We start from the raw sequence: 17,991 nt of genomic DNA on the forward strand, positions 1-17,991 counted from the left end.
GATCTGAAGCTGGAAGGAGAGAGAATTGTCTTGGGAACAAGCACGATGGGGCAGGGCAGAGGTCCAGCACAGAGGCTATAACTGGCTTGTGGGGCAGGGAACTGTTCACGCGGGGTGGAGGTGGGGATTCCAGGGCCCTCTGTGGAGCGGTTAAGCTCTGCCTCTGGGTAATGCGTTCTCGGGTGATGTCCAGGCTGGGAGCATAGTGCATGGCTGTCGATAAGGGAGGAGGCTTTAGGAGGTTTTGATGTTTGATTCTTCTAAAAATTTTCTCCATTGGATTGAACTTCCGAAATGACTAATTTCACCATATGATATCTCTTCCCAACAGCTTGTTTTATCCATTTTGTCTATGTAGGTAAAAGTCTAAGCTTGTTAACCTGACATATCATAATGACTTCTACTTACCAAGCTCCTAGTATCTATATATTAGATATATTATTCTAATATATTGCTTCTTACTTCTCACTCACTCTTCCCAAGTCTACATGAGTGGTGATGGTGATACAGGCTTTACAGAGGGAAAAAACAAAACAACAAAAACAAAAATTGAGTTCACAGAAGTTAAATTTAAGTTATGTGATATCTTCAACATCAGCATAACCAAGTGGCCAAAAAAAAGGAATTTGAAGCCAGGTCTGCTTGACTGCAAAGCGTGAACTCTTTACCCTGCAACTTCCCCAACAGCCCGACAGAACTTGTACCCAGTGCTTTTTCAACATTGTCAAAAAACAAGCTCTCCCCAGATCTCCAGGCCAGAGCAGCCAATTGCCAGCTACTGCCCCCTTGAAACTTTTCCAGCCCTGACTGATTTCTGCAGCCTGCCCCAAGCCTCAGTGCCTGGGGTGAAGGTTTGTGATCCAATTTAGGGCCAGCTAACATTTTAAAATATAATTATCATGTTGTCCAGTGAACTTTAAGAGATGCTACTTAAAAAAATTATTAAGTATTAAAGCAGAAAAAAGATACAGAGAAATCAAAAGAAAAAAGTCACAGCCTGTCAGCCTAGGACCCAGAAAACCCCATGTAGAGATTGAAAATGATGACAGTCATAAGCATAAGCATAAAATTCAAGGTGTAGAGAAATGATCCAAATGAATATGACCCTGGGGAGGACGCCTTGATGTCTGTACCCCCTGCAGCCCCAGAGAGCCGTGTGACGCCTCCAATTATCTCACTCCTCAGGACCCACCAGCTTGAGGTCAAATCATGATGCTTGTTTAAACTATCTTGAAAGTGCTAGCCAGTCCAGAGGAATTTGTGTCAAAGAGTCCTTTTGTAACAGGGAAGACACATGTATTTTAGACTGAGTGACTTGCAGGCACCAGCTGCCCTTGGAAGAGGCCCCTCCAGCTGCGGCCCACTCCCGCCCCAGACGCTGAAGGCCTGCGCAGATTCCCAGTGCAGATCCCGGGCGGTCTTCAGTCACCCCCTCAGTTGCTTGAGCTCTGGTAGTCAGGGTCTCCTCCTCGAATCTGGCTCATTTCTGCCTCTCATGTCCTTCGTCATGTGTCACTGGGCCCCATCTGCTGGGTGAGCTTTCAGGATCCTGCAGGTGCTTCCTTCTGGGCCAGACGTGTCTTCTCCCTCCTGGTAGAATTCTCCCTCCATGTGGAATTCACCAGGTGGGTGAATTCTCCCTTCTCCTTCCATGTGGAATTCACCAGGTGGGTTTTCCTAACTAAATATTAGCGCAGTGACACCCAGTGAGGTGTCAGTCGTAAAACTTGAGAAAGGGATGATGTAATTTTTTTTTTTTTTAAGTTAGGACAGCTCCTTGACCCTGGGAATAAGCTACTCAAATGACAGTAAGTCCCAAACCTACCTGTGGCACACAGCGGCATCGTCAGATTCCCTGTCTGCTAAGCTGTGGCTGAAGGAGACATCACAGGGGAAGGGGAGTGTATTTGTTAGGGTCCTCTAGAGGGACAGAACTAATAAGATAGATGTTTATATAAAGGGGAGTTTGTTAGGTAGTATTGACTCACACGATCACGACGTGAGGTCCCACAGTAGGCCATCTGCAAGCTGAGGAGCAAGGAAGCCAGTCCAAGTCCCAAAATCTCAGAGGTAGGGAACTGACAGTACAGCCCTCAGTCTGTGGTCGAAGGGCCAGGAGTCCCAAAGCTGAAGAACTTGGAGTCCGATGTTCGAGGGCAGAAAGCCCAGCACAGGAGAACGACAGAGGCCAGAAGATTCAGCCAGTCCAGTCTTTCCATGTTTTTCTGCCTGCTTTTTATTCTGGCTTTGCTGGCAGCTGATTAGATGGCGCCTACCCTGGCTGAGGGTGGGTCGGCCTCTCCCAGTCCACTGACTCAAATGGTAATCTCCTTTGGCAGTACCCTCACAGTCACACCAGGAACAATACTTTGCATCCTTCAATCCAATCAAGTTGGCACTCAGTGTTAACCACCACAGGGAGGAAGGGATTTTCCTGAGCACTTGCTGTGTGCGGCCGACCCTTTATGTGATCTCCCTTCATCCTCAGAACACCTCTGTGAGAGGGGATTATCAGCCCCCTCATGTGGATGAGCCAGCTGAGGCTGAGAGTGGTTAGGGAACTGTTTTGGGCAGTTCTGTGTGACCACAAAGCATAGCAATGGTTCTGCCCCTCCATGTGGTCCTTGTGCCTTGTCTTCTGGTGAAAGATGCTACGACATTTCTTCCTTCTGTTGGACGTCTACCTTCTTTCCAGCTGCCCTGAAAACTCAAGCCTCACCACCCCCACCAAGCCCTTCTGCTCTGACCCTTCCACCCAGGCTTGTCCTCATATTCGCCACGTCTTTAACACTGGAGAACAGTTAAATCCAAGCAATATGTATTTTAGCAAAAGCTTCTCTTCCAAGATGGCTAAGGTTTTGCCCCCCTGGTTTAGGAGCCTGGTTGGCAGGTGTCTTATTAAAATGCACATCAGTGGGAGGGAGGGAAGGATGGGTGTGTGGGTGAGTTGTTTGCCGTTTTGAGGGCAGACATGAAAGTTACTACCAGAATGGTAAGGGAGCCACTCACAGACCCCAGGCAGGCACCCCTGGTTAAAATTTCTCAGAGCTTGGCAGGTCGAGGTGGGGGGATCATGAGGTCAGGAGATCGAGACCATCCTGGCTAACATGGTGAAACCCCATCTCTACTAAAAATACAAAAAATTAGCCTGGCATGGTGGCACTTGCCTATAGTCCTAGCTACTCAGGAGGCTGAGGCAAGAGAATCGCTTGAACCCATGAGGCGGAGGTTGCAGTGAGCTAGATTGCACCACTGTACTCCAACCTGGACGACAGAGCGAGACTCCATCTCAAAAAAAACCAAAAAATTCTCAGAACATCCAGATGCTCTAGGCTCCATCAGCAGTCAGTTGGCCACCTCCCTGGGTCCCAGCTACAGCCAGGAGAACCTTGCCACGGAGCAGGTGGATGCCAGGGGTGGGGAGGTCTGACCTTCCGTGCTTCTCTCGTTTCAGACTGTTCTGCGATGACCACAACAAGGTACCGGCCCACCTGGGACCTGGCCCTCGACCCGCTGGTGTCTTGCAAGCTCTGTCTTGGGGAGTACCCAGTGGAGCAGATGACAACCATAGCCCAGTGCCAATGCATCTTCTGTACTCTGGTTGGTCTTTTTGGATAAAATATATGTTACAGTGATTTTAGGATGAGCTTTTTGCTTTCATTTGCAGAGACACTAGGCAAACCTTTGGACTACATTTTGCCTGACAGTGGAGTCTTCTTGTTGAGGCCTTCACACAGTTCTTGGAAGAATTATTCTGTTAGTCAGGCAGGCTCCCAGAGTGGAAGATTTCCATTACAGTTGCTTGTGGTGCAAAAGCAATCGGTTAAACAGAATTTTAGAAGCTCGTGATAACAATTCACGAAACTTATCATAGCGCATGTTCTCCTTGCTACACAGCAAAAGCTTCCACACCTTATATCAAATGTATTTTAATAGTCACATGTCTGAGGTTATGGCAGTGCTAACCTAGTGATTGTGTGTAGCTAGAATATTCAGTCCTCAGTGTCATCTCTCACTGGCTTAGTGCTAAACTAGAATATAGATATTTTAAAATCACATTTAATATTTGTTATGATGTAGCCAACATTCTTTTGGGGCCAGATGATCCTTCGGGGCTTAATGAATATGGGGACTTCTAAGTCAAGAATCTGGGGTTTGGGTCAAACTCAAATCCCAAATTTTATCTATCGGAAAAGATAAATGAGTGTGTGAGGTTTACTTTTAGTTAATCTCATTGAATTTTACTTGTTTTTTCTGTCCATTCAAGGAATGAAAAAAGAAAATGAGTGCATAGAAGCCGGAAGTAGGACGGTAGTTTCCCGGGGTCTGCAGGGAATGGGGAGATGTAGGTCAAAGGGTATGAAGTTGCAGTTATACAGGTTGAATAAGTTCTAGAGACCTAATGTACAGCATGATAATTATAGTTAATCATACTGTTTTGTATACTTGAAATTTTCTGTGAGGATAGATCTTAAGTATTCTCACCACACACACACAAATTGGTAACTCTGTGAGATGATGGATATTTAATTAGCTTGATGGATTTATGATGTATACACGTATACAAAAAATGAATATCAAAACTTCACATTGTTCACTTGAAGTATAAAATGGACAGTCTTTATCAATTATAACTGAAAAAAGCTGAAAAATAAAACACAATATTTATCATTTTAAAAAGTACAGAAAAGAAAAATGAAAAACTGTCTTCAAAAAAAAAAAAGTGTCTTCTGAATTTAACTGCTGTTGTATGTGGATGGTGTAGACGGCTTCCCTGTGGGTTTTTCGAATGCCTGGATTATAATCTGTCACTCGAACAGTCTCTCCCACCCTGTACACTGATGCATTCATCTTTCTTGCATAGCTTTCAGACTGTATTTCATTTGCACCTCATGATGTCCTTGGTATGTAGGCACAGCAAATATTTTATCTTTGTTTTATAGATAAGGAGAGGGAGCTTTACAAACATTTACATCTGTGTCTTCTGTTTCTTGTTTATGCTAGATTCAGCCTTTCTTAAGGGCAGAAGGATTTCTGGCCCATTCTGTATCCACCTAGCACCTAGTTTAGTGCAGGACCCAGAAGAGCTAATCAGTAAAATCTCACAGATTGAAATGAAGTGTATTGATCTCAATACTGTAGTTGCCATCCAAGAAATGTGCCTCATTAAAGCACCAGGAAGACAGCTCCAACCTAGAGGAAAGGAAGTTGCTTTTGACATTGTTCTGAGATGGAGAAGGATAGGAGGGAGATTGATCTCCATCCTGTTAACACCGTGAATGGGGCTTATTGTCATTTCTAGATGAGTTAGGATGGTAGAACCCGTCAAGATGGATTCAATAACTAGCCTTATGCAAAATCACCTCCTCTTACTTGAAAGGACATCTTCCCAACTGATCGAATGGCTCCCCCTCTGCCAAAAATGCCTTGTGGGGGGTGGGGGCGGGGGGCATTTGCAGTCTCTGCAGTCGCCTGCCTGCTGTCAGAGGCCATAGCTTGTGTTCTTACCCTTGAAATAGTTCATTCTCCCTGGCTTTTTTGCTGAGGCCTTCATTTTTGTTATTGTTGTCTTAGTTTTCTATTTCTAGAGAATTGTAGTAAAAACAAATAAGCCACTCAAATTGAGACCAAAAGCCTAACCAAAGTCAGTGGATGTGAAGGAAGAAGCTAGCACTGTGTTCTCCGAAAGAGGCTGCTGGAAACACCAAAAAAACAGTGACACTGTGGTGATTTTTTTTCACAACTATTTACCAAAATTTAAAATGTTGAAAACAGTTCCACCTCTGTCCGTAGCTCACTGTAGCGTGAAGAGAAGGAAGCACTTGTGTGTTGAAGATTCAGAAGGGAGGAGGTGTCGGGGTGCCCTGGTCGCTTTGGTGGCGCCTTCCCCTCTGTGTGGGCTGCAGGTCGCCCCAAGCTGGGGGCAGGCCATGGGGAGGAGCCCTGAGTCTGTGGCCAGAGGAGTTGCAACTGTCCTTTTTTGGGGGGTGCAGACATGGGAAGGAAGAAAATTGTCTAAGACTGAAAGGAGGCACTCTTAAAAAAACAGTTATTATGAAATTACAGTTGAGTGCTGAAGTAACTTTATCTCAAGGAGTCCGGGGCTAGAGGGAAAAGCATGGCATTTGGAGTCAGGTGTCCTGGAGCTGAAATGCCAGCTCTATTTCTGCCCTGAGCAGGCCTCATTTACCCCATCTGTATAATGGAGATAAAAATAGTTTACCTCAAAGTTCAAGTGGAAGAACATGTGTGAAGTCATGTGGTAGGCAGTCATCAGGCCTAGTTCTTTCTCATTTTGCTTCTAAGTTTGGGTTTAGAACTGCAGGAATAAAAACAGAGTTTGGGCAGCTCTCCCTAAATGTCTTCTGAAGAACACTTATCTCAAGAGATGGACTCAGAAATGATTTGTGTGGTTCAGTGGGTTTGCTAATGACGGACACCGCATCCTTGTCCACATCCCCCACTACCAAGGCATCCCAGGTGCCCAAGAGCAGGAGGAATGTACCAAGACATCCACAGCCAGAGACATACTGTCACTTACCTGTGTTCCTTCAATGTATTTCAGTGTGAAAGGGACTGGCCTAGCAATTGCTAATATGGCACTCCCCTGAAGCAGGTTCTCCGGGGCTTTCCTTGCTTGCAGGGTGCCTGGTGGATTCTTCGTGATTCTCTGGAGGTCACAAGAGCCTGTGCACATGTTCCAGGTGCTGTGCTAGGCCTTGGGAGCTTGGGGATGATGAGAGCTACCAGATATCTTAAATTGTTCCATTTGGATTAGTGTGAAGTCTAACTTTAGAAGGTCAAATGTAAAGCTGAACATTTGTGTGCAAAATAGTGACATGTAAGTCTAACCAACAAGTTCTGTGCTGGAGCACTGGCCAGAGAGAAAGGATTGTGGACACGTATTTTGAAATCAGGCTGCCGTTACCCACCATGAGGGCCAATCCCGTGTTCGTTTTGTCAATCAGAGATGCAACCTGTGTGTAGAGTGACCTGGGAAATTCCTTATGGGCTGAAATCTAAAATGTAGAAGATGTTTTAACTTAAAATGGGACATATTAGAGCTATTTAGGTCTGTCTTATACTTGTGGCATTTGACAGTTACACTGAGAATGTTAATATGGTGTTACTGCTGGCAGAGTTGTTTCCATTCAGACAGCTGCTAGAAGTAGAGATGATACTCTTATCCCAAAGGTGGGAACATGTGAAGCTCAAAGGGAGGTGCTGTGGTCCCATCCCAAGACACAGGTCCCTAGTTATCTGGGAAGGTAGAAATGTCTACATTTCTATTAGTTCTTAAAAAAAACAGTCTAATGAAAGTTATTTTTTAATGATGACAAGATTGAATAAGCCAAATAAAACATACATATACACATATATTTTATATATATATTGCGTTTATATATATATATATAATTTTTTTTTGCTTTGAGTTAGAATTAAATCTATTTTTATACCAGCTATTTATTGGCAATTAGGAATTTTGCCATTAGAACCCAGATGACAGGATTTTGATATATAACCGTAGAAAGTTGTAACTTAAAAATGTAACATTTGGCCAGGCACAGTGGCTCATGTCTGTAATCCTAGCACTTTGGGAGGCTGAGGCGGGTGGATCACCTGAGGTCAGGAGTTCGAGACCAGCCTGGCCAACATGTTGAAACCCCGTCTCTACTAAAAATACAAAAAGTATCTGGGCGTGGTGGCGTGTGCCTGTAATCCCAGCTACTCAGGAGGCTGAGGCAGGAGAATCACTTGAACCCGGGAGGTGGAGGTTGCAGTGAGCTGAGATCGCGCCATTGCACTCCAGCCTGGGCAACAAAAGTGAAACTCCATCTCAATAAATAAATAAACAAACAAAAGTGAAACTCCATCTCAATAAATAAAATAAAATAAAATTAAAATAAATAAAAAAATAAAAGTGTAACTTTTTGCCCAGGCACAGTGTCTCCTGCCTGTAATCCCAGCATTTTGGGAGGCCGAGGTGGGAGGACTGTTTGAGCTCAGGAGTTTGAGACAATCCTGGGCAACATAGTGAGACCTTGTCTCTACAAAAAATAAAAAAATTAGCTGGGCGTGGTGACAGACACCTGTGGCCCCAGCTACTCAGGAAGCTGAAGCAGGAAGACTGCTTGAGCCCAGGAGGTCGAGGCCGCAGTGAGCCATGATTACACCACTGCACTCCAGCCTGGGCAGCAGAGCAAGACCCTGTCTCAGAAACAAAACAAAACAAAAACGTAACATTTAATAGACAGAATCTTTCCCGTGCAATGCATAACTATAATAAAAGTGACTCTTAGTGGTTTAAATAAAAAGTCAGAACTAGATGGTTGGTTGAGTTGCGTGGCTGAACATTGCTGTGGGATATAGGTTCAGATCTCTGTTCTGCCTCTGCTACCTGCTAACTGTGTGATTTTTAGCAAGCATCCTAACTTCTCTGAGCCTTAGTTTATTCATCTCTAAAATATGATCAACCTCATGAACAAATTAAATGGGGCAATGGGTATAAAGTATTGAGCAGTAGCATGCCTGGTGATAAGTAATACGATATTATTTCCTTTTTTTCCTATATATTTGCAAGATCATTGACCTGGTATGCTGCAGAAAAGCTACGTGTAAACCCTAAGCTTCTGATTGTGTAACATATTAGGAAATAAGTGGCATTTCCTCACCTAGAAATTAAGCTGATTTGGGGCATGGTCTTCCTTTGCACGTCTTTATGTCCCTTTGCATTATGTGTACTGCACATAGTGGGTGCTTTTTTGTGCACATAGCGGATATTTATTTAATTTTTCAAACATTTTTGAACACCTGGCTTGTGCCAGATGCCCTGGGTACGTAGGTAAGACATAATCCCTGCCCCCTCTGATCCCTTGCTCAGCATTAGATGCAGGTGTGGGCTGCGATCATTTGGGGCTTGAAGGGCTAGATTTGCAGTGTGGATAGTGGGTTACAGCACAGAGAGAACAGTGAATTCTGCCAGAAGTACTCAGGAAGGCTTCAGGGGCATTTGAACTATTTCCTTGAGAAAGCATGAACGGATAGAGCCACCATGGTGGGACCAGCGAAGGAAAGAGGGTGTTGGGGCATGATGGGTCCAGATTGAGAGGACTTTGCTAAGGTTTCTACTAGTCTAAAGCTCAGCAGAGACATACAGTCATGCGCCTCATCACCATGTTTTGCTAATGATAGACCATATATATAATGGTGATCCCATAAGATTACAGGAGCTGAAAAATGCATTCTGCCTAGTATTTACTATTCTGTACTTTTTTATCGTTATTTTAGAGTGTACTACTACTTATGAAAAAATAAGAGAGGTGTGGAACAGCCTGAGGCAGGTCCTTTAGGAGGCATCAGAAGAAGGCATTGTTGTTAATCTCATATGAGATGACAGCTCCATGGTGTTACTGCCCCTGAAGAACTTCTAGTGGGAGAAGATGTGGAGGTGGAAGCCAGTGACATGGATGATCCTGACCCTGTGTAGGTCTAGGCTAATGTGTTTGTGTCTTAGTTTTTAACAAAAAAAGTTTAAAAAAAATAAAAAAATTTACAAATAGAGTAAAGCTTACAGAATAAGGATATTAAATACATATATACACACACATGTATTTGTACTATGTATATATTTGTACGTATATATACACATATATATATTTGTACAGCTGTGTTCGTATTTTAGGCTAAATGTTATGAGAATAAAAAAGTTGAGAAAATGAAAAAGTTTACAAAGTAAAAAAGTTACAGGAAGCTAAGGTTAACTTATTGAAGAATGGAGTTTTTATCTGAATTGAGTGTAGCTGAAGTATAGAGTGTTTATAAAGTCTGTAGCAGCAGTAATGGCTGGGCCTTCACATTCACTCACCACTCACTCACCCGGAGTAGCTCCCAGTCCTGTGAGCTCTATTCATGGTAAGCGCCCTGTATAAGTATATGATTTTTTACATCTTTTATAGCATATTTTAAACCTCTTCTATGTTTAGAAATTTAGATGTGCAAATACTTAGTATTGTCGTTAATATGCGAAAATACTTGTAATTGCCTACGGTATTCAGTACAGTGGCACAGCACCCTGTACAGGTTTGTAGCCCAGAGCAATAGGCTGTGCCAGCTAGCCTAGGTGTGTAGTAGGCTATGCCACCTAGGTATATGTTACTACATTCTATAATGTTTGCACAGTGACAGAATCCTCTAAGGATACATTGTTCAGAATGTATTCTCTTCTTGGACAACTCATGACTGTAACTGGCAAGGACTAGAGGGCTCCAGACTAGCTGTATGTGAGCAAAGCCTGCGAGAGGGCAGCATGCTTTGCCACCTGCCATGTGGCCACTCTGGGCCTTCCTTGGGTTATCAAGGTTGGGATCTAAAGGGGGCATGCATTTTCTTATGATCCCCACTTTTCTGCACGCTTTGTTTCCATTAGTAGCCATTGTTTGGCTATTGTGTGGGGACCACAAGTTATGGTAGAGCAGGCAATCAACTGGAAAACCATGAGTGTCGCTGGTTCTCAGATTAGCTCCCAAACTAATGAATGGGGAACCTTGGGCAAGTCCTTTAACTTCCCTCTCTCCTCTTGCTTTCTCATCTCTGAAAGAAAGGTGGGACTCTTTGGTCTCTGAACTGTGAGTTACATGGACTTTGTCACTTGCTGTCCCACTGCCACTGCCTTTGCGTGTGCACTCAGATTCTTCCTGCGGCCTGTGTGGACCCCACAACTCTATGCAGCTCAAACCAGGCAGAGGCCTCTTTTGCTTTCATCTCCATCCAGGGTCTCCTCACTGTGGTAGCAAAATGGTGGTGGCTGCAGATGTCACTTACTCCCCTGTCCATAAGTGGGGAAAGAGAAGGTCTCTTTCAGTAACTCCTGTAGATAAAACAGAGACTTCCTTCCCCAGCAAATAACCTTCCAGCTCTATTGGCTGCACCACCCTATCTGATCCTACTTCTGGGTCCTTAAGATGGGATCTAGTAACTGGCTTAGAGTCTGGCCCGACTCTAGGATCCAGTCCACCAGATCAGATGGCCAAGATGGGCAGAGGAATTTCCTGAAAGAAGTTCAGGGTGTCCCTTCCAAGAGGGCAAACCTGCGACTGCATTCTTGATTTGAAACTTATCCTGTACAGGAAGCGCCTTCCTGAGTGAAAATGCCTGACATCATCTGGTCCCTGCCTTTTCTTTTGCCTTTTTCTGCCTTTTTCCCCAGCTTCCTAGCTCCATTGCGGATGCTCCTCCCCCTTTCTCAATTTCCCATACTGAGCCATCCTAAACTACAGGACTTCGACGTTTCTCAGCTCTTCAAACATCTGGAGCTTAAACTTACAATAGCATTTCACATACTGTGTGGCGGTTGTGTTCCCTGATCTATAACTTCCTCTAAAGGAGCTTTTGAAGAGAAGGGGTTTTCTTATGTTCTGCTTTTTCATAAATGTTGGCACATAATGGCCCTCCAAAAAAAATGTTGATGCTCACACATTACATACTTGAGTTCCAAGTGGCTTAAGGCAGGTAAGAGTGAGGTGGTTCTCTTTCTAGTCTTATTTTTACAATTATAACTGCTGCTGCTATGGTTTTATCTCTGCATTTTCTGTGAGATGTATCTAAGAAATCATAGCGTCGTCAGATTAAGAAGAAACTAAATATCTTACACTGTGATATTGGCCTGCCCTGGTAAGAGTGAATGGTGGGAAATAGTTTTCAAAGTGTTCTTCAGCTGAAGGTCCCTCTGTTCAAATGAAAGTCTACATGAAAGCCTAGTATATGCAGAATGGTTGAAGCCAAGCTTGCTCTTTCAGTATGGAGTTTAGGCACTAGGAGGCTGTCTGATCATGTCTGCTCTGCAGGCTGGCTCCTGGGGTTCCGAGGACCATCGGTGGGCTTCCCAGGCCTCTCTTCTGGGGTCTGAGAGGTTCAGAGATGCGTGAATCCAGCCATCAGAGTTGCCTCTCCTAAGCAGAGGGCCTCCTTTTAGTCTTGGTTTTTCGATGGGGAGAAGGCTGACTTGGAGGGTGGGATGACTTTAGGGTGCAAAGGATGAGTTCCAGGGCTGTTGCAAAGAGCGAAGCTTCCAACTGCCAAGCTGGCAGTTTCCAGCTGCCAAGATGCCTGCAAAGTAAAGAGCTGCCTCTGCAAGTCTGTTCCGTGTTCCCAGAACACAGAACAGCTTCCTGACCTCCTTTGTCTTAAGACCAGCACCCGTACCCCTCAGATTCCCTGCTGACAACTCACAGGCTACAACCAGAGTTGTCTTCATTTTTATCCATGGCTCTTAGAGTCCTTCTAAAACTTTAGCTTATTGCTTCATCTCACTTCTCATAAAAACCTGTGAAATAGGCAGGATTCTCCATCTCATGAGAGGACGCTGCAGCTCAGAGACATGAAGGGGCCTGCCCTGGAGTGAGGTGCTTGCTGGAAAGCCTGACTTGGGTGCACCTGCTCCTTGCATATCTGCCACTCTTTTTTTTTTTTTTTTAACTTGTGGTATTGATGAACTGAAGTGCTGTTAGAGAATTGCACATACCCTAATTTACACACACATTCAAAGTGTTTTTCTCGGTGGCATCATTCCTTTAATGAAAAGCATTTTTTCCTCGTGTTGCCCCTGAAATCATGACAGCTATGCTCTGTCCCAGTCTAAAGCCCGGATCCCAACAATCTCTGTTACCCAGAATGTAGCCCAGAACCTCCATGAAGCAGAACAGCTTGACGAGGGTCTGGAGTTGTCGGAGTTCCTGCACATTAATCTTGGCAGAGGACTTCACTCAGAGCCCAGGGATGCTGTAGTTATAACTTTTTCTAACTTGATGTGTATTTTTCCTAATCAAGAGTATGAAAAACTAAAATGCGGAGGATGAACAATTCTCTACACAGTTAACAAGAAATGACAGTTTGTAACCTGATGACACAGGATAAGTGGCAGGCCAGAAGATCTCAGCCTGTGCTGCAAAATGCTCCTGGGACACTGACAGGTGTGTCACCAGGACCTGTGTTTTGGGAAGGGACACCTGCCTCCTCAATGTCAGGGCAGGAGAGGGTAAGGGCCCTGTGACTCCTGCCTCCGATGCCCGTACTGGCCTCAGAGGAGAGTTGTGGCCCCGCTACCCCAACCCTTGCTGGTCTTCACAGGTGGGTCCTGGTACCCCAACCCCGAGCCCCTTCACTGCCTCCCTCCCTCACTGGGACCTCTGGGACCAGGCTGGCAGCCACTGTCCTCTCTCCATGGCCACCTCCCCAAAGCCTCCCATCCTCCCTTCCCTGTCCATGGCCTGCCATTCCAACAGTATTCTCTGAAATAGACACTCAGTCTATTTAAGTGGGGCTCCTTACCTTCTTCCACCCTCTGACATTGAGGAGGTAGGTGTCCCTTCCCAAAACACAGGTCCTGGTGACAAGCATGGGCCTATACCTTGAAGTAGGCTGTCTCTGCACTAGAAATTTGATGTCTATTAAGGGTCCATGAGAAAATGCCGATTCCTGATAGTGGCTTTGCTCAGAAAGTGAGCCAAGGGATGAAGGGCCACTCTGGAAGCCTTTGCACACCCTGCCCTAGTTAAGGTCAGAGAGTGCCTTCCCACCCCCTCAGAACCCTGCCCCTTCCCACCTGGCAAGGATCCTTGGGATCTACTTCCTCTCCCCATTTTGTGGACTTGACTCTTCACCCCAAAACCCTCCTCAGTGCTTTCTTCCAGGAGGCCTGTCTAGGACCGACAGCAGGTAGCGTCCTCAACCCTGCCCCAATGTCAGCAGGATCCCTATCAGTCTCCCCAGCCCTTTCTTATACAATGGGTAAAGAGCAAACAAATAAAACTTTTGGTTTCATGATGGGATAGAATGATCTTCAGTTGTCTGGAAAATTCAGATCTTCCCAACAGAGGCTGAATTAAGAAAGTGTCACACGATTACAACTTAACCCTCTGCTGTTAGACATTCTGAGTATTTGCACGCCTACTCACATTGTCTCACACTCAGCCTCTCAAGCGCGTCTGTGCATGTGTCCCCTTCTGTCCAGGTCTTAAATTCGCACACACTCGATTTCACAGACACACTCATTTCACCTCCATTAAGAGTCTGACCCAGGGATCATCCTGCCTCAGCTTTTAACCACCCTCAACATAGTACACTTGCCAAGCCACAATATGCCTTTCACCCAATGTCACAGCCTTGGTGTGGAGTGCATATATATTTGTTGAAGTGACAGGCCGAGTCCCTGCCTGTTCCTGCCTCTGATGTTGGTGCTGTCTGTGTGCACACCCTGCTACCACACTGCCTCTGTTCCGTTCCCCTGGGAGGTCTTCGTGATGAAGCCGTGGCTGGGTGAAATATGCATTTTTGCTCCTCTGTGAATCCGGGTTTTCATATTGAACAGATAGAACAAACGGGCCGCGCTGCCCACACCACCGCTTCTCTTGCAGCTTGTTTGGAAGCTGAGGCTGCAGGAGCGAGCTCCTTGCTAAGGAAGGAACATGCATTCTCTCAGAAGTCTTCCCTCTCCACCAGCCCAGCACTGCCTCCAGAGGTGAGGGGAAGGCAGCTGGACAGTTCACTAGTCCCTGTGGTATAGTGGAAAGCACAGTCTCCACGTCAGTGTCTTCCCCTTGTGGTTGGCGAGGGGGAGGAAAAGCCCAGTGGCGTCCCTAGAGAGCCAGATCTTCCTGGCTGTCACCCCCATCTCACCCTGTCTCTGGCTTCCCGGGCTCAGTCTTCAGAGCCTATCACTGCCTCTTTGGCTGCCGCCCAGACCTCAGGACAGGCAACTGTGAGAACAAAGAGCGGCCTTCCTCCTTTTTGGCAGCGGGTGCGTGGTCACATGTGCAGGCCTCCTCGGGAACGTCCAGCTTCTGGTGGCTTTTGTAGACCGCAGTGTAGCTGCAGGCCCGGCTGCAGGTTGTGCCCAGTCCCTTACCCTCCAGCTGTCCCCTCACAAACACTTCCCTGAAGCTCTGCTGACACAGTGCCCTGATTAAGAACCGCAGGCCTGACCGGTCACACTGGCCTTCCTGCCCCGAGTGGGTTCTTATAAAGCAGCCGTGGATGACACAGGCCCCCTCCCGACACGGTGCACTCTCCACTGCCTGCAGGAGTGAGCCCTGCCGCTCCACTCAGCACTGCTGCTGCCTCCTGGCCTACTGCACCCCATGCTTCCCTGTCCCCCCGGGCCAGATGCTGTTCCTGAGCACACCCCTTCTGGTGGAGCCTGCTTCCCTTTCTCCTGACTGCTGTTTGTCTTGGACAAACTCAACACTGGAAGGGGCGGTCTCTTCCTCGTATAAGGAGATGGAATAAACAGCCTCCGCATCCAGTCCTGCTGTCGTGCCTTGCTCCTGAGACCTCTGAATGGCCAGGGAGCCGGGGCTCTGGGCATCCTCCTGGCCTCCACCCCAGGTCCCTGCATGCCACCCCACAAAAGCAGGTGCTCAGTGCTAGCTGCTGAATGGACTTGAGAATCCCAGATAAGTGACAGGCTTGCTACTGCTAACTTCCCACCTGGAGTTCTTGAAAGAGAGTGTTTAACACAAAATCATTCCGTCCACATCTTCACTGAGCATCTACAGTCACCAGCCACCGTGTGAGGGCCGCATAGGGCCACAGAGGCATTACCCCTGGCCTTATCTACACTGCAGGAGATGAGGTGTGCACTCACCCTCCACATGGGTGACAGGAGACCCATACACAGCATGCGGGCTGGAAGACTCTGATGATGGAAATTGTGCATAGGTAGAATGAGGTTAAGTAGGTGGAGGATACTGAAGGGGTAAGAAGAACTAGTATTTGCCGGGGCCTTACTTTATATAGGGCAAAATCCACCCTTCCAGCAAGGATGCCACCTGCAAAGCAGGATCATCTTGTTCTGTAGCTGAAGGGACTTAGTCTTAGATAGCTTAGGAAAAAGGTAATGCAGGGGAGCAGCACGCCGATCATGACCTGAAGCAGCTGACTGTGAGCCTGCCTGCCTCCTGCACACCACCCAAGGCTGTGGTGAGAGCACAGGAGGCGGCGGGTCTAAAGGCTCGACAGAAGCAAGAACTCATATAGATGGGAGCGTTTATTTTACGCATAAAGTCTGGGGCTTTTTTTTTTTCAAGAACCTTATAAAAACAAACTTTATAATTTGAACTCTTCAGCTTGTGAGTGAAGTCACAGTCCTACATCCTTGAGGAAAGTGATCCTTGCCAGAACATGTACTGTGCAGCTTGCTGGGCAGTTTGCTGCAGGTTCCCAGGGCCATCCAGTGAGAGTTGCCAGGGGGATTCCCATGAGGCTGTCCTCAGAAGGGAAGGCTGTGCAGGAGGTCGTGCCTCCAGCCTCCTTAACCACAGCCCTCCAGCCTGTGCTGAGGACCCGGCTTGTATGGCCCTGCGGTGGTGGTGTGTAGCTAGCACACCTCTGTCTCAGGGCTCCAGCCCTCCTGCTGGGGCTCAGAGGAATGCCTGTTGCCAGGTGTCTGGCTACTCTGTGTGTGTTCTACTCATCTTTGTGTCCTTCCATTCACCCTCTATCTGCAAGGCTTTGATTCATCCCTTGCTATTTGCCAGCACTCTGTTAGGTATGGGGAATAGAAAGATAAATAATTAATAGTTCTTGTTTTCAAAGAATTCACCATCTACTAGAGGAGAAACATAAACAGACCATGGATTATTGATGGCTCTAGAAAGGCTGAGAGAAACCCTTGCGGAGCGTGTAAGCAATATTCCGGAGCACCGCTGTCTCCGGGGTACTGGAGCTGTGGAGTGATTGTCCCTCTATCTGCCAAGCTTATCCCACAGTATTAGGAAGTGGAGGCACTGGGAGAGAAAGGTCCATGCTAGAGCCACATGTCTGCTAAGTGGGTGAGCTACAATTTCAAGGCAGCCTTGTGTGTGATTCCAGGGTCTTTGCTCCCAACCACTGTTCATGGGGCTTTTGCTGCTTCAATTTGGACCTGCCTGCGTGTAATGTTTGTGTTAATAAATCGTGGATCCCAGATAAGCACCTTTGAGCACAGTTTCTGGGCATTTTCTCCTGCTTTTAGGATCATCAGTAGCCAGCAGGCCTTCGTGTGAAAAAGCAGACAAAAATCAGACTCGCTGTAGTTTTAGGCGAGGCAGATATTTCTCTGTGGCCACTTCTCCTTGGCAGGAAACTTCTGACGCACCGGAGGTATATTAGCAAATCAGCAGTGCTGTCTCGTCATCAGGTTTCAAAGAGTTGGAAACCAAAGTGGAAAATGAAATTCCTGGAACATTCTGTGGCTTACCCCCCTTTCTTCCCTCTGTGTGGCTGATGCCTTTTTTCCTGCAATGCCTTTGACCCTCTGGCCAACTTTTCATCTCTGGGAAGCCTTCCCTGATCCCACCCAGGTGGGACCCCTCCTCTCTACCCCTGTAGTGGCCCATTAGAGCCTCCCTGCCCCCTTGAAGTGGCCCCATGAGAGCACGGAGCACAGTGCATTGTGATGATGATCTGTGCATGCCTCTTTCCCCTACACTGGGCTGTGCGGGTCTCAATAGCATTTGCAGCATTGCAAATGGATCATTGCATTTGCAGCAGCATGAACATGAACATACAAAGGAGAGGTTCTCGGGGTTGACTGACACTATGCCCCTTTAAAGTACATACAATTCCTTGTTCTACAGAAAAAGTTTATGAGGTAAACAGAAAATATGTATTGAATGATTGATTTTGAAAGTGTTCTTTTAAAAACAATAAATTTTATTGTATATATTTGAGGTTTATAACATAGTATTATGGGATACATATAGATAATAAAATGGTCATATAGTGAAGCAGCTCAGCGTATTCATCATCTCACATAGTTGCTTTTTACGGTGATGGGCACCTAAAGTCTACTCACTTACTAACAATCCCTGATATGATACAATTGTATTAAAGTTAGTCCTCATGTTGTATGTTATATCTCTAAACTGGCTCATGTAAAAGTTTTCAATTGAGGAGTAAGTATACAAAAAATGTACAACAGACAAACATAAAACCTCACCAGCCTTGGAATCAGCC

General features: G+C 46.2%; 1 protein-coding gene across 7 annotated transcripts in view; it reads left to right on the forward strand.

The window, feature by feature from the left end:
• Positions 1–17,991, forward strand: part of RNF144A (ring finger protein 144A) — a 158,956-nt gene that overhangs the window by 76,050 nt on the left and 64,915 nt on the right. For 6 of the 7 annotated variants that reach the window (NM_001349185.2, NM_001349181.2, NM_014746.6 and 3 more), the window contains exon 3: positions 3,455–3,600. The exons of the other annotated variant lie outside the window; for it this stretch is intronic. In NM_001349185.2, the coding sequence (NP_001336114.1) occupies positions 3,466–3,600 (135 nt within the window). In that variant the 5' untranslated portion in view covers positions 3,455–3,465. The remainder of the gene's footprint in view (positions 1–3,454; positions 3,601–17,991) is intronic. 7 annotated transcript variants of the gene reach the window in all.

Source organism: Homo sapiens, chromosome 2 (genome assembly GCF_000001405.40).
Source record: "Homo sapiens chromosome 2, GRCh38.p14 Primary Assembly".
Classification (NCBI taxonomy): domain Eukaryota; kingdom Metazoa; phylum Chordata; class Mammalia; order Primates; family Hominidae; genus Homo; species Homo sapiens.